The sequence below is a fragment of the Homo sapiens genome, chromosome 11, assembly GCF_000001405.40.
Source record: "Homo sapiens chromosome 11, GRCh38.p14 Primary Assembly".
In the NCBI taxonomy this organism is placed as follows: domain Eukaryota; kingdom Metazoa; phylum Chordata; class Mammalia; order Primates; family Hominidae; genus Homo; species Homo sapiens.
In genome coordinates this window covers 65,293,773-65,311,632 of record NC_000011.10, presented here as the reverse complement: position 1 = coordinate 65,311,632, position 17,860 = coordinate 65,293,773, and the positions used below count along the sequence as shown (strand labels likewise).

The window sequence follows — 17,860 nt, the reverse complement described above, 5'->3', positions numbered from 1 at the left end:
CCTGGCAGCTTGGAGGAAAACAGGCCTGGACCATTGAGTAAGTGGCAATGATGGCCCTGGGCCAAGCTGTGGTAGGGGTGAGTAAAGGGTGTGCCTCTCCCCATTCTTGCCATGGGACTTTGCCAGGCCGCCCTGTGCCCTTTACCCATTGCTTCATGTTCCTGAATTCTTTACATCCTCCTGGGGGTGCCTAGTGACGTGGCCAGAGCCTGAATCACGATCCCCATTTTACAGATGGGAACTAAAGCTCAGGGCACCGACAGTGATTTGCTGAGCCTAGAAGTGGCAAGGCATGTGGGCTCTGGCCCCTCCTTCTCTCAGGCTTCTAACCCCACAGGCATCATTCCTGCCCATCCCCAGGACACAGCTCTCAGAGAGGAGGGGCAGCTGAGTGCCTTGAGCCCCGGCCTCTGAGCCATCAGTCAGATTCTGAGCTGTCTCTGCTGCTGCTTTGCTCTGTGGCCACAGGCAAAGGACCTTCCCTTCCAGAGTCTCCTTGCCTATAATATGGGGTAGTAGCATCAGGTCAGGCAAGTCCCAAACCAGATAAGGGATGGACATGCATGTATTTTGTTCATGGGAATACGCAGCCCCTCAGGTGGCATTGTTTCACGGACACATTAGACAAGAGCTTTGGGGCCTGGCCAGCTGGCTGTGCTGCTTGATCGGAATGGCTGTAATGATGAAGCCACCTAAGCCTGCGGGAATGAGGCTCAGGCCAAGCCCTCATCCCCTGCCCATCTGCTGAGAGTCCTCCATTGGGGGGTAGCGGTCAGGGAAGGGTCAGGCACTCCATTCAGAGCTGGGGACAAAACAGAGTTACAGGGATGGAAGATGGAGAAACAAAGCCTCTCACCCAAGGCCACACACAGCTGGGGACCAACCCCGGAGCTCTTTGAAGAAGTTCTGTGGGGGGTGGGTGATTAGGGGTCCCTCGGGTAGGGATAGAGAGCAGCAGAGCCCGCAAACCTGGTCCAAGCTCCTGCTTTCCTCCCTGAGCCTTCCAACCAGGACTAGAAATGCTATCTGCACTCTGGGGACTGTTTTCAACCCACCTGGATGTGACGTGTTCCGCCCAGTGCCAGTCCCCTTGCCGCTCAATCCACTCCTGCTGTCATTCAGAGCAGGGGGCCCGACCAAGTCCACATCGCAGGAGTGATCGGCGCCTGGCCCTGGGTTCTGCGCTGTGCAAGCATGCAGGGAGGGCGCTTCCTTCTCCCCATTCACAGATGTGGTTGTCACTTGGCTGGGGCCCAGGGGATCCCTGAGGAGGTTCTGCTGAATGGACAGGATCTTTGTGTGCACACCCAGCATCGCCATGGGAGCCCTGCCATTCATAAGGCCATGTATAAAACAGGATTTCATTTACTAAACTTGGCTTTTTTGTGCAAGTTCTCAGGCTATATGTAGGGGCCTGGGGTGTGGGTAGGGAGGCTGGAATAGCCTGAGCCACGGGGAAGCGTGGCCTGCATTTTGACCCAAGACACTCAGGCCAAGCGCTGCATCCCCCAGCCTGGACCCTAGGGTCTGATGCCTCAGCCAGGGCCTGGACTGTCCTGGACAGAAGGGCTCCTGGACACCCTGCTACCTCAGGGGCAGGATCCAAAAGGGCATCTGGGGCTGGATGTGGTGGCTCACACCTGTCATCCCAGCACTTTGGGAGGCTGAGGTGGGCGGATCAACTGAGGTCAGGAGTTCGAGACCAGCCTGGTCAACATGGTGAAACCCCGTCTCTACTAAAAATACAAAAATTAGCCAGGCGTGGTGGCACACGCCTGTAGTCCCAGCTACTTGGGAGACTGAGGCAGAAGAATTGCTTGAGCCTGGGAGGCAGGGGTTGCAGTGACCAAGACTGTACCACTGCACTCTAGCCTGGGTGACACAGCAAGACTCCATCTCAAAAAAAAAAAAAAAAGGCCGGGCGCGGTGGCTCACGCCTATAATCCCAGCACCTTGGGAGGCTGAGGCAGGCCGATCACGAGGTGAGGAGATTGAGATCATCCTGGCTAACACGGTGAAACCCCGTCTCTACTAAAAATACAAAAAATTAGCCTGGCATGGTGGCGGGTGCCTGTAGTCCCAGCTACTTGGGAGGCTGAGGCAGGAGAATGGCATGAACCCAGGAGGCGGAGCTTGCAGTGAGCTGAGATCACGCCACTGCCCTCCAGCTTGGGCGACAGTGCGCGACTCCGTCTAAGAAAATAAAAATTAAAATTAAAAAAAAAACAAAAGGGCATTTGGGAGGGGCAGAGCAGGCCACGATGGAGAAACACCCAGAGCAGGGTATTTGGCTTCTGTCTCCTCAGCCTGGAGCCTCTCCCTTGTCCTGAGATGGGCCCAATAGGCTCCCCAACCAACCCCACAGCCACCTCCCCGACTGTGATCACTACACAGGGACTGACTCAGCCCTTCCTTCCCCTCCCAGCCTCTCCTTCCTGGAAATTGCCATCACCAGCGGCCATAGCACCCCCATGGGACCTGGGGGATGGAGTTGGAAGCCCCCTCCGGCAACACTGGCCAGATTGGAGAGACCAGCAGGGAAGCTCCCTCCTACCCCCAGGGAGGCTGAAGCCAGCTCTCCATGGGCACGAAACCTGGAACCCAGGACCCTGGGGGGCAGGTGAGATGACAGGGACTTGGGGTCTGGGAGCAGAGTCACAGGGAAGAGTGGCATCTAGGGGAGGCGCATCTTGGGGGTGCATCTAGGGGAGGTGCTAAGAAGTGACAGGGGTCTCTGGAGGTGCCCCAGTCCCTCTGCTGGGATGCAGGGTGGCAGGGAGCTGAGAAGGTGCTCAGCCACCCTCTGGAAGCTTCTGACGTCCCAGCCTAAGCTCAGCCTGCAGGGCCCTGTGGCCTGAGCCAACCCCAGACCTGGGTTGGATTTTTTCCTTGTTTCTTGCTTCCTTCCTCCCCTGGACTCCTGCCAACTCCAGCCCTGCCCTCCTCGCTCTTCACCCCACTTCAGAGAACTGTGACCCACTGGAGGCTGGGATTTGAGATGAGAGGTCACCCTCGGAGTTGGCTCCAGCTGCTGCCTCTGCCTGGGACCCCTCCTTGGGAGTTGGGTGGCAGGGCCTTGCTGGGGGCACTTCCCTTCGCATCTGGATTTTGGCCTCGGGCCCAGGGCTATGGGGGTTTCCAGAGTGGTGACAGCCTTGTCCTAGCAGGGACCAGCCCAAGCACTTCCTCCCAGAGCCCTCTGGGAGCGTCCCAGCCCCAAGGCTGTCATTTTGTCGTAGGGAGTAAATTGTGGAGTCAGCAGAGGCTGTCTTCCACACTTTCTGTGCCTTCCAGGTATCCTGTCATTCCTCATTCTGAAAACCTAGGCTTGCATCTCTCTTGTGCCTAGGGCTATGCTGGACTAGAGAAGACACAGGTGGCCAAAGCTGGACCCAGCCCTCAGGGAACAGATAACCTGCGTGAGAAACAAATAATTGATTCTGCCCTTTATCCCTCCCGGGCCAGCACGGAGGGGTTCAGCCAATGACTGGGAATTGAATGAAAAACCAAAGAGAACAGCCATGAGATCTGTCTGCTATGGGTGGGAAAGCAGATGGGAGAGTGAGAAGGGCTTCAAGGAGAAGGTGATATGTGAACAGGGCATAAATGGATGAATAGGAGTTTGCCAGGCACAGAAAGGGAAGGACATTCCAGGGGAAGCAGGCAGAGGCCTGGCAAGGCAAAGGCCAGGAGGATTGCAAGTAAAGTCATGGTATGAGCAGAAAACAAGAGAGGTCCAGTTGCCCATGGCATAGGAGAGGGGACAGGCCAAGAGGGTAGTGGGTAAGCACTGTTTTCCCTGCCCAGCATCCATCTCTCACTCTGGTGACTGTCCCTCAGTTTTCTAGTCTCCAGTGTGACTGGCCCCCAACCCTCAAGCTCTAAAAGTGGGTTTGAGTCCTGTGCCTAGCCAGTCTGAGTCATGGGAATGGCTCCAGCATATGACATCAGAGAGCATCAGCCCAGGAACTTGATGGGACTGTTAGGGTCACAAATGTCAAGATGCCAGCCCAGAGCTGCTGGTGGCCAGCTCTGCCACCCTAAGGGGGGAGCCTGCCTAAGAATAAGGCCAACATAGAAGAAAACAGCACCAAGAGAATGAATCTCAATGACATTGCCTGTGCTCCTGGATCCAGTCATGCCTGAAGCAGTTTCTATTCTACGAGCCAACAAATTCCAGTTTTGGCTTAATACAGTTAGGGTTGGGTCTGTCACTTGCCACTGAGAATGAAGGGCCCATTGCAGAATAGCTAAAGGCAGGTGATCACTCATGAGAGTTGCCGAGTGCTGTGGGAAAGGCAACGATGATCTGTGTGTAGAGGTACAACACCATCAGAACTGCATTTTCTTTCATTTAAATTACTTTTTGAGGCCGGGTGCGGTGGCTCACGCCTGTAATCCCAGCACTTTGGGAGGCCAAGGCGGGTGGATCAGCTGAGGTTAGGAGTTCGAGACCAGCCTGGGGAACATGGTGAAAACCCGTCTCTACTAAAAATACAAAAATTAGCGAGGCGTGGTGGCACGTGCCTGTAGTCGCAGCTACTCAGGAGGCTGAGGCAGGAGAATCACTTGAGCCTGGGAGGCGGAGGTTGCAGTGAGCCAAGATTGTGCCACTGCACTCCAGCCTAGGCGACAGAGTGAGACTCTGTCTCAAAATAATAAAATAATAATAATAATAATAATAATTACTTTTTGATTAGGTAATGCTCTTTCTTTTCTTTTTCTTTCTTTGAGATAGGGTCTTGCTGTATCGCTGGAATGCAGCGGCGTGATCACTGCTCACTGCAGCCTCAACTTCCTGGGCCCAAGCAATCCTCCTGAGTAGCTGTGACCACAGGCACATGCCATTTGCTAATCTTTGTATTTTTTGTAGAGACGGGTTTTCGCCATGTTGTCCAGGCTGGTCTTGAACTCCTGGGCTCAAGCAATTCATCTGCCTCGGCCTCCCAAAGTGCTGGGGTTATAAGGGTGAGCCAAAGCGCCTGGCTGAGGTAATGCTTTCATGTGATTCAGAATTCAGAAGTTGGCTGGATATGGTGGCTCACACCTGTAATCCCAACAGTTTGGGAGGCCAAGGTAGGGGGTGGGGTGCGGATCACCTGAGGTCGGGAGTTCGAGACCAGCCTGGCCCACATGGCAAAACCTCGTCTCTCCTAAAAATACAGAAATTAGCCAGGCATGGTGGTGGGTGCCTGTAATCCCAGCTACTCAGGAGGCTGAGGCAGGAGAGTCGCTTGAACCTGGGAGGCGAAGGTTGTGGTGAGCCAAGATCACACCACTGTACTGGGTGCCTGAGCGACAGAGTGAAACTCCATCTCAAAAAGAAAAAAAAAAGAAAGAAAGAAAAAGAAATTCTGAAGTCCTAAGAGGCAAGAAGTCTCATCCCTGTCCCCCAGGGACAGTTCTCCATTCTGCTATAGCCAACTGGTGTTATCAGTTTCTTGTAAACACTTCTAGGGATATTCTTGCATGAACGAGCAGGGCCCCTCTCATTTTTTTTTTTTTTAACACAAATGTCAATATTTAGACAAGTAGAGTTCCAAAGTACTGCAGGCCCTGGTGGTAGCTGGCGGAGGGCCGTCCTGCTCGGGACTGTGAGAAGCCCTTTCATTGAGCCTCTGCTGTTCATGCTGTTTGACACCTTGCGTTTTCCAGTTAACGTTATATTTTGGAGACCACTCTACATCAATACATAGAGTGTGTCCTCATTTTCACAGCTGCACGGTATTCCAGCACAAGGATGTATGGTAATTTACAGATGCACTTCTTGGCAGAGGGACCTTCAGGTTGCTTCCAGCCCTTTCTCAAGACAGGCCGTGCCGCAGTGAGTCATCTGTACAAAAGCCCTTTCACACATGCACGAGCGCTGCTGCGGAATACATTCCCAGAAGGGACTTGGGAGGACTGGGGGGCAAAAGATACATGCAGTGGTGTCTTATTATTGTTATTTTAGAGACAGGGTCCTGCTCTGTCACCCAGGCTGGAGTACAATGTACAATGGTGTCATCATAGCTGACTGCAGCCTCGACCTCCTGGGCTTAAGCCATCCTCCCGCCTTGGCCTCCTGCGTGGCTGGGACTACAGGCACGCACCACCGTGCCCAGCTTGCAGTGGTCATTTTGTCAGCTCTGTCAGCTTGTCCTTCTTGGAGACTGTGCCAGGTACCAGGCCCCCACACAGTCAACAGGGCTGTTTCTCCTCAGGCTCACCAGCCCCTGGTTTCCACCTATTTTGATTTTTGTCCATCTGAAAGGCAAAAACTAAACAAAACAAAGGAATTTGGGTGTAGTTAGAGTTTGCGTTTCTCTTACGATGCGTGAGGCTGGTCACCTTTTCATTTGCTTAAGAGCCACATGTGTTTCTTTTTGGTGAATGAACTGCAGAATTTCTGCAGAGGTGGTGCCGGGCAGCTTTGGAGAGGGGGGCCTGGAGGGAGGCCAGACTAGAGGCAGAGGCCACTTCTGGGGACAGTTAGCGTAGAAGGGAGAGAAAATTTGGTCCTGAAGAGTGGTGTGAGAGCTGGAGATGGAGATGATGAAGTTGAAAGGCTGAGATTAGGTGATAGGTTAGCCCCCATGGAGGGCCATGGAGGAAGAAGGGGGAGTCAGGCCCAGTCCAGGCTTACAACTTGGGTGACAGGGTGGGGGTGGGGGGAGAATGGAGCCCGCAAGGGTTTTGGGGGCCAGGATGATGTGCTGCCTGCCTATTCTCCACACCACATGGTGATAGACAAAAACACCACTCTGACTGCCACGTGCCCTGTTCGTGTGCTGCCATGGTCACAAACCTGCAGCAGGGCCCCTGCTAGCCTCTTCAGCCTCCAGCCAGTGCTCCATGCCTGCTGCCCTGAACATGTGCCTGTCAGCTGTCGGCGGTGCCCAGCCTCCAGGGCTAGGTCCCTGCACATGCTCCTCCATGAGCCCTGCGATTTGCTCCCTCCACCTCACCTGGCCACCCCCATGCCTCCCGTGGCTCTCAGCTGTGATGTCTCCCCTCAGGGAAGCTTTCTGGACCCCCATTGATGTTGGGTCACCTTGTGATACCGTGGGAAACTCTGGACCATGGACCTCTCCGTGGCGTTGTCATTTGGTTCATGTCCATTTTCCATTGGATCATAGCCAGTCCCCCAGAGTGTGTGCCATGTGGTAGGCACCCAGTGAATATGGATGAGTGGATGGATGGGTGGGTGGGTGGATGGTTGGGTGGATGGGTGGGTTGATGGGTGGGTTGATGGATGGATGAAAAGATGGATGGTTAAGTTCATGGGTGGGTGGATGGATGAATGGATGGATGGTTAAGTCTATGGATGGATGGATGAGTGGGTGGGTGGGTGGATGGAAGGATGGATGGATGGAAGAAAGGATGGATGGTTACGTGGATGGATAGATAGATGGGTGGGTGGGTAGATGAATGGATGGACGGATGGATGGAAGAATGGATGGTTAGGTAAATGGATGGGTGGACGGATGGGTGGATGGTAGGATGCCGGGGATAGCAAGAAGAGGGTGTATGGGAGACACATGTTTAGGAAATAAAAGTTGGGAGCTGGTGACCCCTCCTCTGTGCAGCACCCACCACAACTCCAGGCACCTCTGCCCTTGGCCTGCTCTGGTTTTCTCCATCTGACACACTTGACTCCATCTGATGCTCTGCAGTGTCCACTGTTTACAGGTTTCTGTGCTGGAGTGGCAGCTCTGGGTGGCAGCAGAGATTCTGTCCACTCATTCATTTCTGCATCCCGCTGCCGAGGAGAGACCCCCAACCTGCAGGGCCCTTAGCAGGTGTTGTGCTGTCCCTGCAGGTGGGCCTCCCACCTCTTTTCTTTCCAAGCTGCCTGCTTCTGGAAGGTGGAGAGGCATGTCATAGGAGGGCACTGCTTCTGCAGGAGTTTCTTTGTGGGCCTACTATGTGCCAAGCACTGTCTAGGGACCAGTGAGACAACAGTGAACATGACACTCCCTGCCCTCAGGGAGCAGGGATTCTGAGAGCCTGCCTCCCAAGGAGGTGGATGCTACAACAGCTGTGGGGTGTGGAGTGCTTACAGAAAGCTGGATCGACATATAAACATTTGTATATGTCTATTCCCACCACTCTACCCCCTCTTTTTTTTTGAGACTGAGTCTTGCTCTATCGCCCAGGCTGGAGCGCAGTGGCACAATGTCAGCTCACTGCAATCTCCACTGCCTGGGCTCAAGTGATCTTCCTGCCTCAGCCTCCCAAATTGCTGGGATTATAAGCATGAGCCACTGTGCCCATCCCCACCTTCTTCGGTTTTTTTTTTTTTTTTTTTGGAGACAGAGTCTCACTCCGTTGCCCAGGCTGGAGTGCAGTGGTGCGATCTCCGCTTACTGCAAGCTCCACCTCCCGGGTTCACGCCATTCTCCTGACTCAGCCTCCTGAGTAGCTGGGACTACAGGTGCCTGCCACCATGCCCGGCCAATTTTTTGTGTTTTTAGTAGAGACGGGGTTTCACCGTGTTAGCCAGGATGGTCTTGATCTCCTGACCTCATGATCCACCCGCCTCGGCCTCCCAAAGTGCTGGGATTACAGGCGTCAGCCACCGCGCCTGGCCCCCACCTTCTTTTAAAGTAATCCAGACACATGGTAAAAAATTTCAAACACAGCTGGGTGTGGTGGTTCATGCCTGTAGTCCCAACAATTTGGGAGGCTCAGGCAGGAGGATTGCTTGAACTGGCCTGGGCAACGTGGCGAAACTGTCTCTATCAAAAACTCAAAAATTAGCTGGGTGTGGTGGCGCACACCTGTGGTCCCAGCTACTCAGGAGGCGGATGCAAGAGGATCACTTGAGCCTGGGAGGTTGAGGCTGCAGCGAGCTGTGATGGCACCACAGCACTTAGACTGGGCGACAGAGTGAGACTCTGTCTCCAAAAAAATAAAAAAAAAAATTCAAACAGGTTGAGTGTGGACATGACAAATCGTTCTCTGAGCCCTCCTACTCCTGACCCCTAGCCCTTGGACACCCGTCCCCAGAGGCAACTACTATTACTAGAAACATTCTAAGGGGCAATTTGAAGGGGCCTCGAGTCCTCAGGAGGAAAGTGGACCTTCAAGGGAAGAAGCTGCCAGGAATCAGGAGTGAGTATGCCTTTTCCCCCTATTCGCTGGGAATCAGGAGTGATGGTGCCTTCTCCTTTTTCCCCTTGTGCCACCCTTGTGCCCTGTTCTGTGGTAGGAGGCAGGTGGTGGGAGGGCAGGGTCCCCACCCTGTTGAACAGGGCCAAGCCTGCCTGACGGAGGCAGGTGTACCCCTCATCCACCCCTGAAAGGCACTTCCTCTGAAGCAGGAGCGGGGCTAGGGGTGCCTCTACCCAGCAGCTTTTCTCACTCTTTGGGTGGGGCCTGCTGACTCAGCACGAAAATGCTCAGCCCAAAATGCTTCAGCCCCTGGGAAGATCTGGGAGCGATGGGAGTGAGCAGAGAAGATGGGGCTTGGTAGGGTCCTGCTGGCTGCTGGGCAGAAGCCTGGGATCTCAGGGAGCAGTGTGCAGGGGCCAGGGTCAGCAAGGTTATGGGCAGCAGCTGTCCCTGAGACCTCCCAGGGGCCCCTTTGCCTGGGCAGCTGCAGGGCCTCAGCTGTCAGGCAGGCTCTGGGTGGGGAGGAGCCTAGAGCCCCGGGAAGAGGCGGGGCAGGATGGAGGAATTCAGAGCCAGCGGCAGTCCAGCTGGGTCTGAGGGCAGGCCAGCCCCTAGGCCCCTGGGCATTTCCAGGGCTGACCCACGAAAGCAGCAGTAGGCATGGTCGCTTGGGGACTGAAGACCCAGAATGACCAATGACGGTGACAGAAGGTCCCAAATGCCTGAATGCAGCTGGGAGTCTTGCCATGAACAACCATGGGTGTCTTCTGGTCTCTTTAGCCAGAAATCCCAGCACCTCTCTGTTGCCATCCCTCTTCCCTCCCCTGCCCCCAGGCCAGTCCCACCCTTTTGCCTTGTTGATCAGTGATGCTAAGTGCAAGTGCTGGCCAGAGTCCTCTCCATGGTGCGGATGTTGCCCATCCATCTCTCGGCCACCCTCCCAGCACCCAGTTCTGTGGCTTTTGACTGCAGTGACTCCCACATCTACCCCTCCAACGCCCATGTCTCACTGGAGTGCTGCTTCCAGTATTCCAATGGCCCACTTGGTGCCCCTCTTCCTCCCGACCTGCCCCAACAGACCCAGGCCCCTCCCCTGAGCCCCTCTCCCCTCAAACCACCCCTTTGCTACATGCTACCAGGTACTGAGGCTGCACCTGGGACTCCTCTTAAGTTGGTCCTTGTTGGGTGGTCAGGGTGAGGCACAGGGGGTGGGAGGCAAACCCTTCCAAGATTCTCTGGGGCAGAAAGAATCAGGTCCAAATGCCTTAGCAAGACTTCACAATCTGGCTCTGAAGCACCATTCCGGGCCCATCACTGCCTCCCTTCCCTTTCCCTCTTTTCTTTTACCCCTCTCTCGCCCTCTGTCCCTCCTCCCTCCCTCTCTTTGCCTTGTCTTCCTTCGTAAATCTAAAGCCCCTCCCCATTCCTAGGAACATACCCAAGAGAACTGAAAACAGGTGTTCACACAAAGCTTGCACACAAGCGTCCACTATTCATAATAGTCCACAAGGGGAAAAACCCGACAGTGGATGCACTGATAAAATACCGTATAGCCATACAGTGGGATCTTAGCCATAAAAAAGAATGGCGGACTGATACATGCTGCTGCAGGGACAAACCTTGAAAACATCATGCTAAGTGAAACAAACCTGACAGGCCGGGTGCAGTGGCTTACGCCTGTAATCCCAACACTCTGGGAAGCCGAGGTGGGCGGATCACTTGAGGTCAGTGGTTCGAGACCAGCCTGGGCAACATGGTGAAACCCTGTCTCTACTAAAAATACAAAAATCAGTTGGCACGGTGGCGGGTGCCTGTAATCCCAGCTACACAGGAGGCTGAGGCAGGAGAATCGTTTGAACCCGGAAGGTGGAGGTTGCAGTGAGCAGAGATCGTGCCACTGCACTCCAGCCTGAGTGACAGAGTGAGACTCTGTCTCAGAAACAAACAAAAAAACAAACAAACAAAACCTGACAGAAAAGAGCATGGGCCAGGCACGGTGTCTCATGCCTGTAATCCCAACACTTTGGGAGGCCGAGGCGAGTGGATCACCTGAGGTCAGGAGTTCTAGACACACCTGTAATCTCAGCTACTCAGGAGGCTGAACCCTGAGGTCAGGAGTTTGAGACCAGCCTGGCCAATATGGCAAAACCCTGTCTTTACTAAAAATATAAAAATCAGCCAGGTGTGGTGGCAGGCACCTGTAATCCCAGCTACTCAGGAGGCTGAGGCAGGATAATCCATCGAACCCGGGAGGCAGAGGTTGCAGTGAGCCGAGATTGCGCTACTGCACTCCAGCCTGGGTGACAAGAGCAAAACTCTGTCTCAAAAAAAAAGAGGATGTATTGTATGATTCCATTTATACAAAATGCCCAAAATAGGCAAATCTACAGAAAAGAAATTAGATTAATGATTGCCAGGGGATGGGATTAGACTGCTAATGGGTGCAGGGTTTCCTTTGGGGTGATGAAAATACTCTGGAATTAGATGGTGGCGAGGCCTGCACAACACCATGAACATACTAAAAACCACTGAATCATACACTTTAAAATGGGCATGGTGGCTCACGCCTGTAATCCCAGCACTCTAGGATGCTGAGGCGGGTGGATCACTTGAGGTCAGGAGTTTGAGACCAGTCTGGCCAAGATGGCGAAACCCCGTCTCTACTGAAAATACAAAAATTAGCTGGGCGTGGTGGCAGGCGCCTGTAATCTCAGCTACTCGGGAGGTTGAGGCAGGAGAATCGCTTGAACCTGGGAGGTGGAGGTTGCAGTGAGCCGAGATCGCGCCACTGCACTCCAGCCCGGACGACAGAGTGAGACTCTGTCGGGGTGGGGTTGGTGGAGTGAGAAATCAGCGCAGATGGCTACTCCCAGCAGTAGTGAAGCAGCAAGGCCAGGTTGAGCTGGGCCGGGTGCCCTGAGGTCAAAGGAAAGGAAACCCCAAGCCCCAGTGGCTGCAGAAGGCAGAGCTGGATGGAGGATCCGCGCCATGGCCCTGCCGGCCCCCAACCTTGGGTGCCCCTCGAGGCCCTAATTCCCTCGCTGCATTCTTGGCACCCACTTGGGTTCCCAGGAACAGCAACTAGGAGTGGCTTCTGTTCCCTCAGCAGCTCTCCCTCTCCCTCTCAGAGACTGGAACCCTAAAGGGAAGCCACGAGGCGGGTAAGGGAGGGCGGCTCCTTCTGCCAGGGCAGAGGCAGGGCAAGGGCATGGGCATGGGAGGCAAATCCTGGCAAGAGCTCGGGACTATTTCTTCAGGACCGTCTAGTTGGTGTCTCAAGGGCAGGGGCCATGACCAGATCAGGGAGAGGCCACCAAAGGGGGCTGAGGCAGACGGGCCTGACCTCCTGGGCACCCTCCCACCCTCCGTCACTGACACGCCCCCAGAGCCTGCTTGAGAATACCTGGGATGACAGATGCCTGGGGAAACTGGTGACACAGCTGAAGTGGGGTCTAGGGACGGTCAGCCAGCAGTCACTTGGCACCTTCCTGACAAGAGCAAAAAGGAACTGTCTGGTGGCAGAGGCACGCCTGCCAGACCTGTCTGCTCTGGTGTTAGCATCCCGCTTTCTCTTTGTCTGACTCTTAAATGCCTGCTCCGGCCCTCCCGGCCCTCCCAGATCATTTCCAACAGTCACACGACTGGTATCCAGGCAACCATTGCCTGGGCTCCCAAAATTCCACATCCGGAGGCTGACAAGTCATGGTGCCCCCGTGGAACACAGCTGGCTGCTTCATGTGTGGAGGAGCTGGGGGAGAACGGAAAAATCCACTCCCCACGCAGGGATGAGTTTCTAATTCTTGGCCTCAGAGGAGGTGCCTATAAAACTAATGAAATAAAACAGCTGCTCCTTGTGTTTAAAGGAAGACCTTTTACTGTACCCTGGTCAGGTCTGGGGCTCGATTCCATTTCACCGTCAGAAAGGTGAGAGGCAAAAGTTGGCCACTGTTAGGTCATCTATTTATCTCGGAGTCAAGGCATAGACACCAGCAGCTTGCTGCCCCCTTGCCCACTTCCCTGCCCTGACAGCTGGGGTTTGCCGGTCTTGGCTCTGGCATGTGAGGCAGGACAGCCTGCCAGCTTAGGGCAGGAAGCCACTCCACGTCTGGCCAGTGACAGCTTTTCCCCAGATGCCAGGACATAGGGGCATGGGACGTGCTGTGAACCCTGGAAGGCCTGACCCTGTCTGAGTGTTCTGGGCTGCAGGCAAGCCCTGGCTACTGCGCGACTTGGCAAAGCAGCTGCCACCAGGACTCCAGCTTTGGAACAGCCCAGCGAGGCGGCCCCCTCCAGATGGAGAGGTCAGGCTGGGACCACAGCATGCATGTGAGGAACTGCGCAGGGAGGCCCAGGCATGCAGCCAGTTGCTTGCTCTGCAGCCCAGCTCTAGGGCCCACCCAGTGCACCTCTGCAGCATAGAGGTCACTGGGGCCTTTGGGGGATGAGGAGTGGGGCTGAGAGTTACCCACTGGACAGGACTGGGGCTGGATAGAAACCCAGTGTGACTGACACTCTGCCTTCTCTGGACATAGGTCAAATAGGCAACATTCTTTGTCTACTACCAGGATAAAGAAAATAGAAGAAAGGGGCCGGGCGCGGTGGCTCACGCCTGTAATCCCAGCACTTTGGGAGGCTGAGGCGGACAGATCACAAGGTCAGGAGATCGAGACCATCCTGGCTAACATGGTGAAACCCCATCTCCACTAAAAATACAAAAAATTAGCCAGGCGTGGTGGTGGGTGCCTGTAGTCCCAGCTACTCAGGAGGCTGAGGCAGGAGAATGGCATGAACCCGGGCGGCAGAGCTTGCAGTGAGCCGAGATCTCACCACTGCACTCCAGCCTGGGCGACAGATCGAGACTCCGTCTAAAAACAAAATAAATAAATAAAAGAAAATAGAAGAAAGGTCAAACTCAGAAGTCACACTCAGAATTTAATTTCTCCAAAAGTTGTTTCTGTGTTTGATTCATGTAGAAAATCACAAAGCCTTCTCGCCTTTTCTGAGTGGGCGGGATCCACAGCTGGCTTACTTCTGGACACGGAGCATGGACTGAGAAGCAAGAGCTTCCTTCCAGGAGAGGCACCACTCAGAGGCAGGCCCGGCTGCACAAGTCCTCCCTGCTGGGCCTGGTCACTGCAGCTGCCCCTCCCTGGCTGGCTCCTCTCTCCTTTCCCACCCAACTGTTCACCTTGTCACAGGGCTATGTCTTGGCTCTTGGCTAAGACTTTAAGGGCCCACACAGCAGAGAACAGCAGAGGACAGAAGCCTCAGATCCTGACGACCTGCACAGCAATGCATGGGCTCTGCCTCTCTGCCCCGTCCGCTGCCGGCCTCCTAAGGTAGAGTCGGGCGAAGGTGCCTCCCACCTGCCCTTTGGTAAGGCGCCCAGGGTTCACACAGACACAGCCGAGGACATCCTGGGGAGGAGAGGAGAGGTGACAGGTTTGGAGAGCCTCAACTAACTGGGAACCAATGTGAAAAAGAAGTGCCATCACATGGCTGGACCCCAAAGAGGGTTTTAGAAAATGGAAACGAAGGCAACCAAATCACCAGACACATTTTCAGTCACTTTTTTTTTTTTTTTTTTTGAGATGGAGTCTCGCTCTGTTGCCCAGGCTGGAGTGCAGTGGTGAGATCTCAGCTCACTGCAGCCTCGACCTCCCGGGTTCCAGCGATTCTCCTGCCTCAGGCTCCCAGGTAGCTTGGATTACAGGCACCCACACCACCATGCCTGGCTAATTTTTGTATTTTTAGTAGAGATGGGGTTTTACCATGTTGGCCAGGCTGGTCTCAGACTCCTGACCTCAGGTGATCCACCCACCTCGGCCTCCCAAAGTGCTGGGATTACAATTGTCAACCACTGCGCCCGGCCTCAGTCACATATGTTAACTTGTCACTAGAAAGCTTTGAATTCCTTTTAAGTCTTTCAAACAGAAGAATGAGGTGACTTGGCAGAATGACAATCAGCTCCTAAACTTGGAGACAAACCTGATCTAGCTGTTTACTGCTTTCTCATGTGAAAAACTTTTTTTTAACCTCTTGAGATTGAACTAACTCTTGTTTGGCAAGAGGGGGACTGGTCTAGGCAGATTCCTTGTAAGGGACCTAACTCCAAGGCAGGCAGGGCTAAAGGGTGGCAGAGATCAAAATGACCCAATAGCTTCTTCAAGGTATTCCCAGCTGAGCCCACTTGGAGGTCATATCAGAATTTGGGAGGCAGAGGACAGGCAAGTGTACATATGAAATCTTCCCCAGGTCACCTCTATGTGGCCTGGTGAAAGCCCTCATTTGAGGGCCTTCCTAGTCATCTGGGCTCTCGTTCTCTTGGGGAGGGAGGAGAGGACACTGTTTACTCAAGCATTTTACTGACAGAGTTGTTTGTTTTCTGGTCCCACCACCTCCCCAAAGAAACAAGGCCACAGGGCAGGGTGCTAGAGGCCCCATCCCCATCAGCTGACCCATGAGGGGTGAGTGCCGGGTGGTCTAGAAGGGAAAGTCAAAGACTGGGTTCTGGTGTTTCTGGGAAAAAGCAGAGTTCAAACCTACCTTCACGAAGTACCTCAGCTCTGACGGGATGATGAGGACATCTGGGGTGACAGGCAGCTGTGCGTAAACATAGAACGACTCATAGTCAATGGCCATGTCTTCTTGGGGCGGGTAGAGTGGGTAGTAGCTACAGAGACAGAGAGAAATTGTCAGCACTAGCTGACCGGGGGGCCCCCTTCTCAGACAGAGTCCCCCTAGGTACTGGCTTTCGTGCTGCTGGCATCCACAGACCGACTTTTTCTCTGTGTGTGTGGGGCAGAATGCAGGCTTGTCATCACAGGGTAAAGTTCCCTGCTGGTAGCCTGGTGAAGGCTCTTACAGTCATGCTTGTCATAGCTCCATGACCCCAAGGCACTCTCTCCACAGTCAGGGGTCCCAGCGGCAAGCTCACCTCCTCTGGGTCAAGATGTGCTTGAGTATTCGGCTGAATCTGTCTGAAGTTCCGGAAGAACTGGGAAAGAAAAGAAAGCATGAAAACAGAACTCTGTTTTTCAGCCCATTTCTCTTCAGGGAGGACTGGAGAATTTAATAAACCAGAGAGAAGGTAAATGGCCAAGGCACAGCAACAAGAGGAGGATGCCTCTGGGGAAGTTTAAAGACCCACCCACAAGGAGCTCAGTCTGTCCCCACATGAGGAGGGACGCAGGACACCAGGTTGAGAAGGGAAAGCACAGGAATCCCTCATAATCAAGATCAAGGAAGGCCATTAGCCAGCACCGTACTGTGCAAGAGGATGCAAAGTTGGCACCATCATGAGGCGGGTGTGTAGCCAGGCTGACCTGAATCTCAAACCTCAGCCAAGGAGCCGCACCCGTCTCGCTTCACACGCGAGTCGCTTCACATGCCCCTTCCCATCAAGGATGACGGCAGAACGGAGCTGCCCAACTTCAACTCAACAAATTTGTCAGGGCCTGATTCTCTGCAGAGCTGGATGTTGTACTGGTAGTGAAGAAAATCCTTCAGAGAAAATTCCCAGTTTATCCTCCACAAACAGGATGTCCACATTTGTTTTCAGGTCACAAATTTGGGAAATGAAAAAAAAGGGGAGCAGAAAAGAAAATGTAGATGAATTTTGATGCCTTTAAGTGCAAAGACAGAATGGACGTGGTTCTTTGGGGTCTCAAACGCAGTTTAGAGAGGTGGTAACAGAAACTAATGCATCCAACCCCTCCCCTTGGGTACAGAGAAACTCAGATGGCTAGAGGGTCTGGCACAGCTTGCTGCTTTCAGCTCTCTCTGGTCAAGACCGTTAAGCAGCCCCTTGATTTTCTTGGCTGCAGAAAGGGCTGGGACCAGAAAGCCAGTCATCCTGCTTGGGGCCTGGAACACACTTCTTACCTACTGATCTCCTCGGCCCCCAGGTGGAAAAGCAGATCTGTGGATGTCAAGCCGAAGATCACTCCGTTTATGGAGAGGCTGCAGGGCTCGGACACAAACTGTACTTGCTAAAATGAGAACGGATTGAAACAAACATTTGTATGCCAAAGCTAGAAACATCTTCCCATGAAAGTGGGGGTTGTCTGAGGGCTGGGGAGACCACGGAAAGGGGGACCAAACCAACATACATCAAGCTTTTGGACACATTTGCCTGTTTAAAAAAAGGAGTTTAAGATTCAGGCTGTACGCACACCCTAAAGAGGCCTCTCCACCCTCCCCTTCAGGGCCAGAGCTAGTGGCAGAGGCATGCTGGATTCTGGCTGCCTGCTGGTCAAGGAGTGGGTGCTGCTACCTTTTTGTCCTCTCGAGACAGATCGGAGTAGCTGAAAGGCGGCTGGGGGTACACAGGCTCATGGTGCACATCTCTCAATGACGGGACAAAGACAAGGTGGGAGCCGGAGCTAGTATGGCAAAAGAACAAACAGAAGAGTGAGAAAAGTGAGTGCAGTTGAGTTAGAACAGCTGCGCAACAGGTGGGATGCCTCAGGCTGGAGGCAGAGCCCACCCCGAGGGAGGCAGCTCAGAACTGCACTCTGTTATGAACAGAGACGCTGTTTCCCATGGGACACTGGGAGTAAAGGACAGTTTGTTCTACTTCACACCCATCCATCTGGACAGGCTCCGATTGCCTGGGACACTTTCTTGTTGCTCTGTGTGGCTTTCTACTGAGAGGATGGAGACTATTTTTTGGCAGAAAAAGGGGCAAAGAAATGGAGATCTAGAAAGTCTAGAAAGACAAGGATGTGAATAAAGAATCACAGCCTCAGAGCCAGAGTTTAAA

At 53.8% G+C, this 17,860-nt stretch overlaps 1 protein-coding gene and 1 long non-coding RNA gene across 16 annotated transcripts in view, besides 4 other annotated features; one reads left to right on the top strand and one right to left on the bottom strand.

The window, feature by feature from the left end:
* Nucleotides 1-17,860, top strand: part of LOC105369344 (uncharacterized) — a 20,917-nt gene extending 3,057 nt beyond the window's left edge. For 3 of the 8 annotated variants that reach the window (XR_007062726.1, XR_007062723.1, XR_007062724.1), the window contains exon 2: nt 2,426-6,288. This is a non-coding gene — a long non-coding RNA (uncharacterized LOC105369344). Of the gene's footprint in view, nt 1-2,425; nt 6,289-16,008 lie in introns of those variants that run through there. The other 5 variants (XR_001748262.3, XR_007062725.1, XR_007062727.1 and 2 more) reach the window with 4 other exon arrangements.
* Nucleotides 450-1,057: an enhancer, noted in NCBI's record as "H3K4me1 hESC enhancer chr11:65078047-65078654 (GRCh37/hg19 assembly coordinates)". NCBI's record gives its function as "activates a minimal SCP1, AML or CMV promoter by ChIP-STARR-seq in naive H9 embryonic stem cells {active_cell/tissue: H9 hESC(naive)}" and the evidence as "EXISTENCE:reporter gene assay evidence [ECO:0000049][PMID:30033119]".
* Nucleotides 1,058-1,665: an enhancer, noted in NCBI's record as "H3K4me1 hESC enhancer chr11:65077439-65078046 (GRCh37/hg19 assembly coordinates)". NCBI's record gives its function as "activates a minimal SCP1, AML or CMV promoter by ChIP-STARR-seq in naive H9 embryonic stem cells {active_cell/tissue: H9 hESC(naive)}" and the evidence as "EXISTENCE:reporter gene assay evidence [ECO:0000049][PMID:30033119]".
* Nucleotides 5,648-17,860, bottom strand: part of POLA2 (DNA polymerase alpha 2, accessory subunit) — a 44,024-nt gene continuing 31,811 nt past the window's right edge. Inside the window, exons 14-19 of one of the 8 annotated variants that reach the window (XR_007062468.1) lie at nt 17,372-17,480; nt 16,981-17,087; nt 16,034-16,093; nt 15,643-15,769; nt 12,500-12,584; nt 11,419-12,012 (exon numbers count right to left, since the gene is read on the bottom strand). Coding sequence is in view for 6 of the 8 variants with exons in the window: in NM_002689.4 (NP_002680.2) it covers nt 14,364-14,513; nt 15,643-15,769; nt 16,034-16,093; nt 16,981-17,087; nt 17,372-17,480 (553 nt within the window). In the remaining 2 variants the exon portion in view is untranslated. Of the gene's footprint in view, nt 6,261-11,418; nt 12,585-12,947; nt 14,514-15,642; nt 15,770-16,033; nt 16,094-16,980; nt 17,088-17,371; nt 17,481-17,860 lie in introns of those variants that run through there. The other 7 variants (XR_007062469.1, NM_001438747.1, XM_011544878.4 and 4 more) reach the window with 7 other exon arrangements.
* Nucleotides 9,254-9,790: an enhancer, noted in NCBI's record as "H3K27ac-H3K4me1 hESC enhancer chr11:65069314-65069850 (GRCh37/hg19 assembly coordinates)". NCBI's record gives its function as "activates a minimal SCP1, AML or CMV promoter by ChIP-STARR-seq in naive H9 embryonic stem cells {active_cell/tissue: H9 hESC(naive)}" and the evidence as "EXISTENCE:reporter gene assay evidence [ECO:0000049][PMID:30033119]".
* Nucleotides 9,791-10,328: an enhancer, noted in NCBI's record as "H3K27ac-H3K4me1 hESC enhancer chr11:65068776-65069313 (GRCh37/hg19 assembly coordinates)". NCBI's record gives its function as "activates a minimal SCP1, AML or CMV promoter by ChIP-STARR-seq in primed H9 embryonic stem cells {active_cell/tissue: H9 hESC(primed)}" and the evidence as "EXISTENCE:reporter gene assay evidence [ECO:0000049][PMID:30033119]".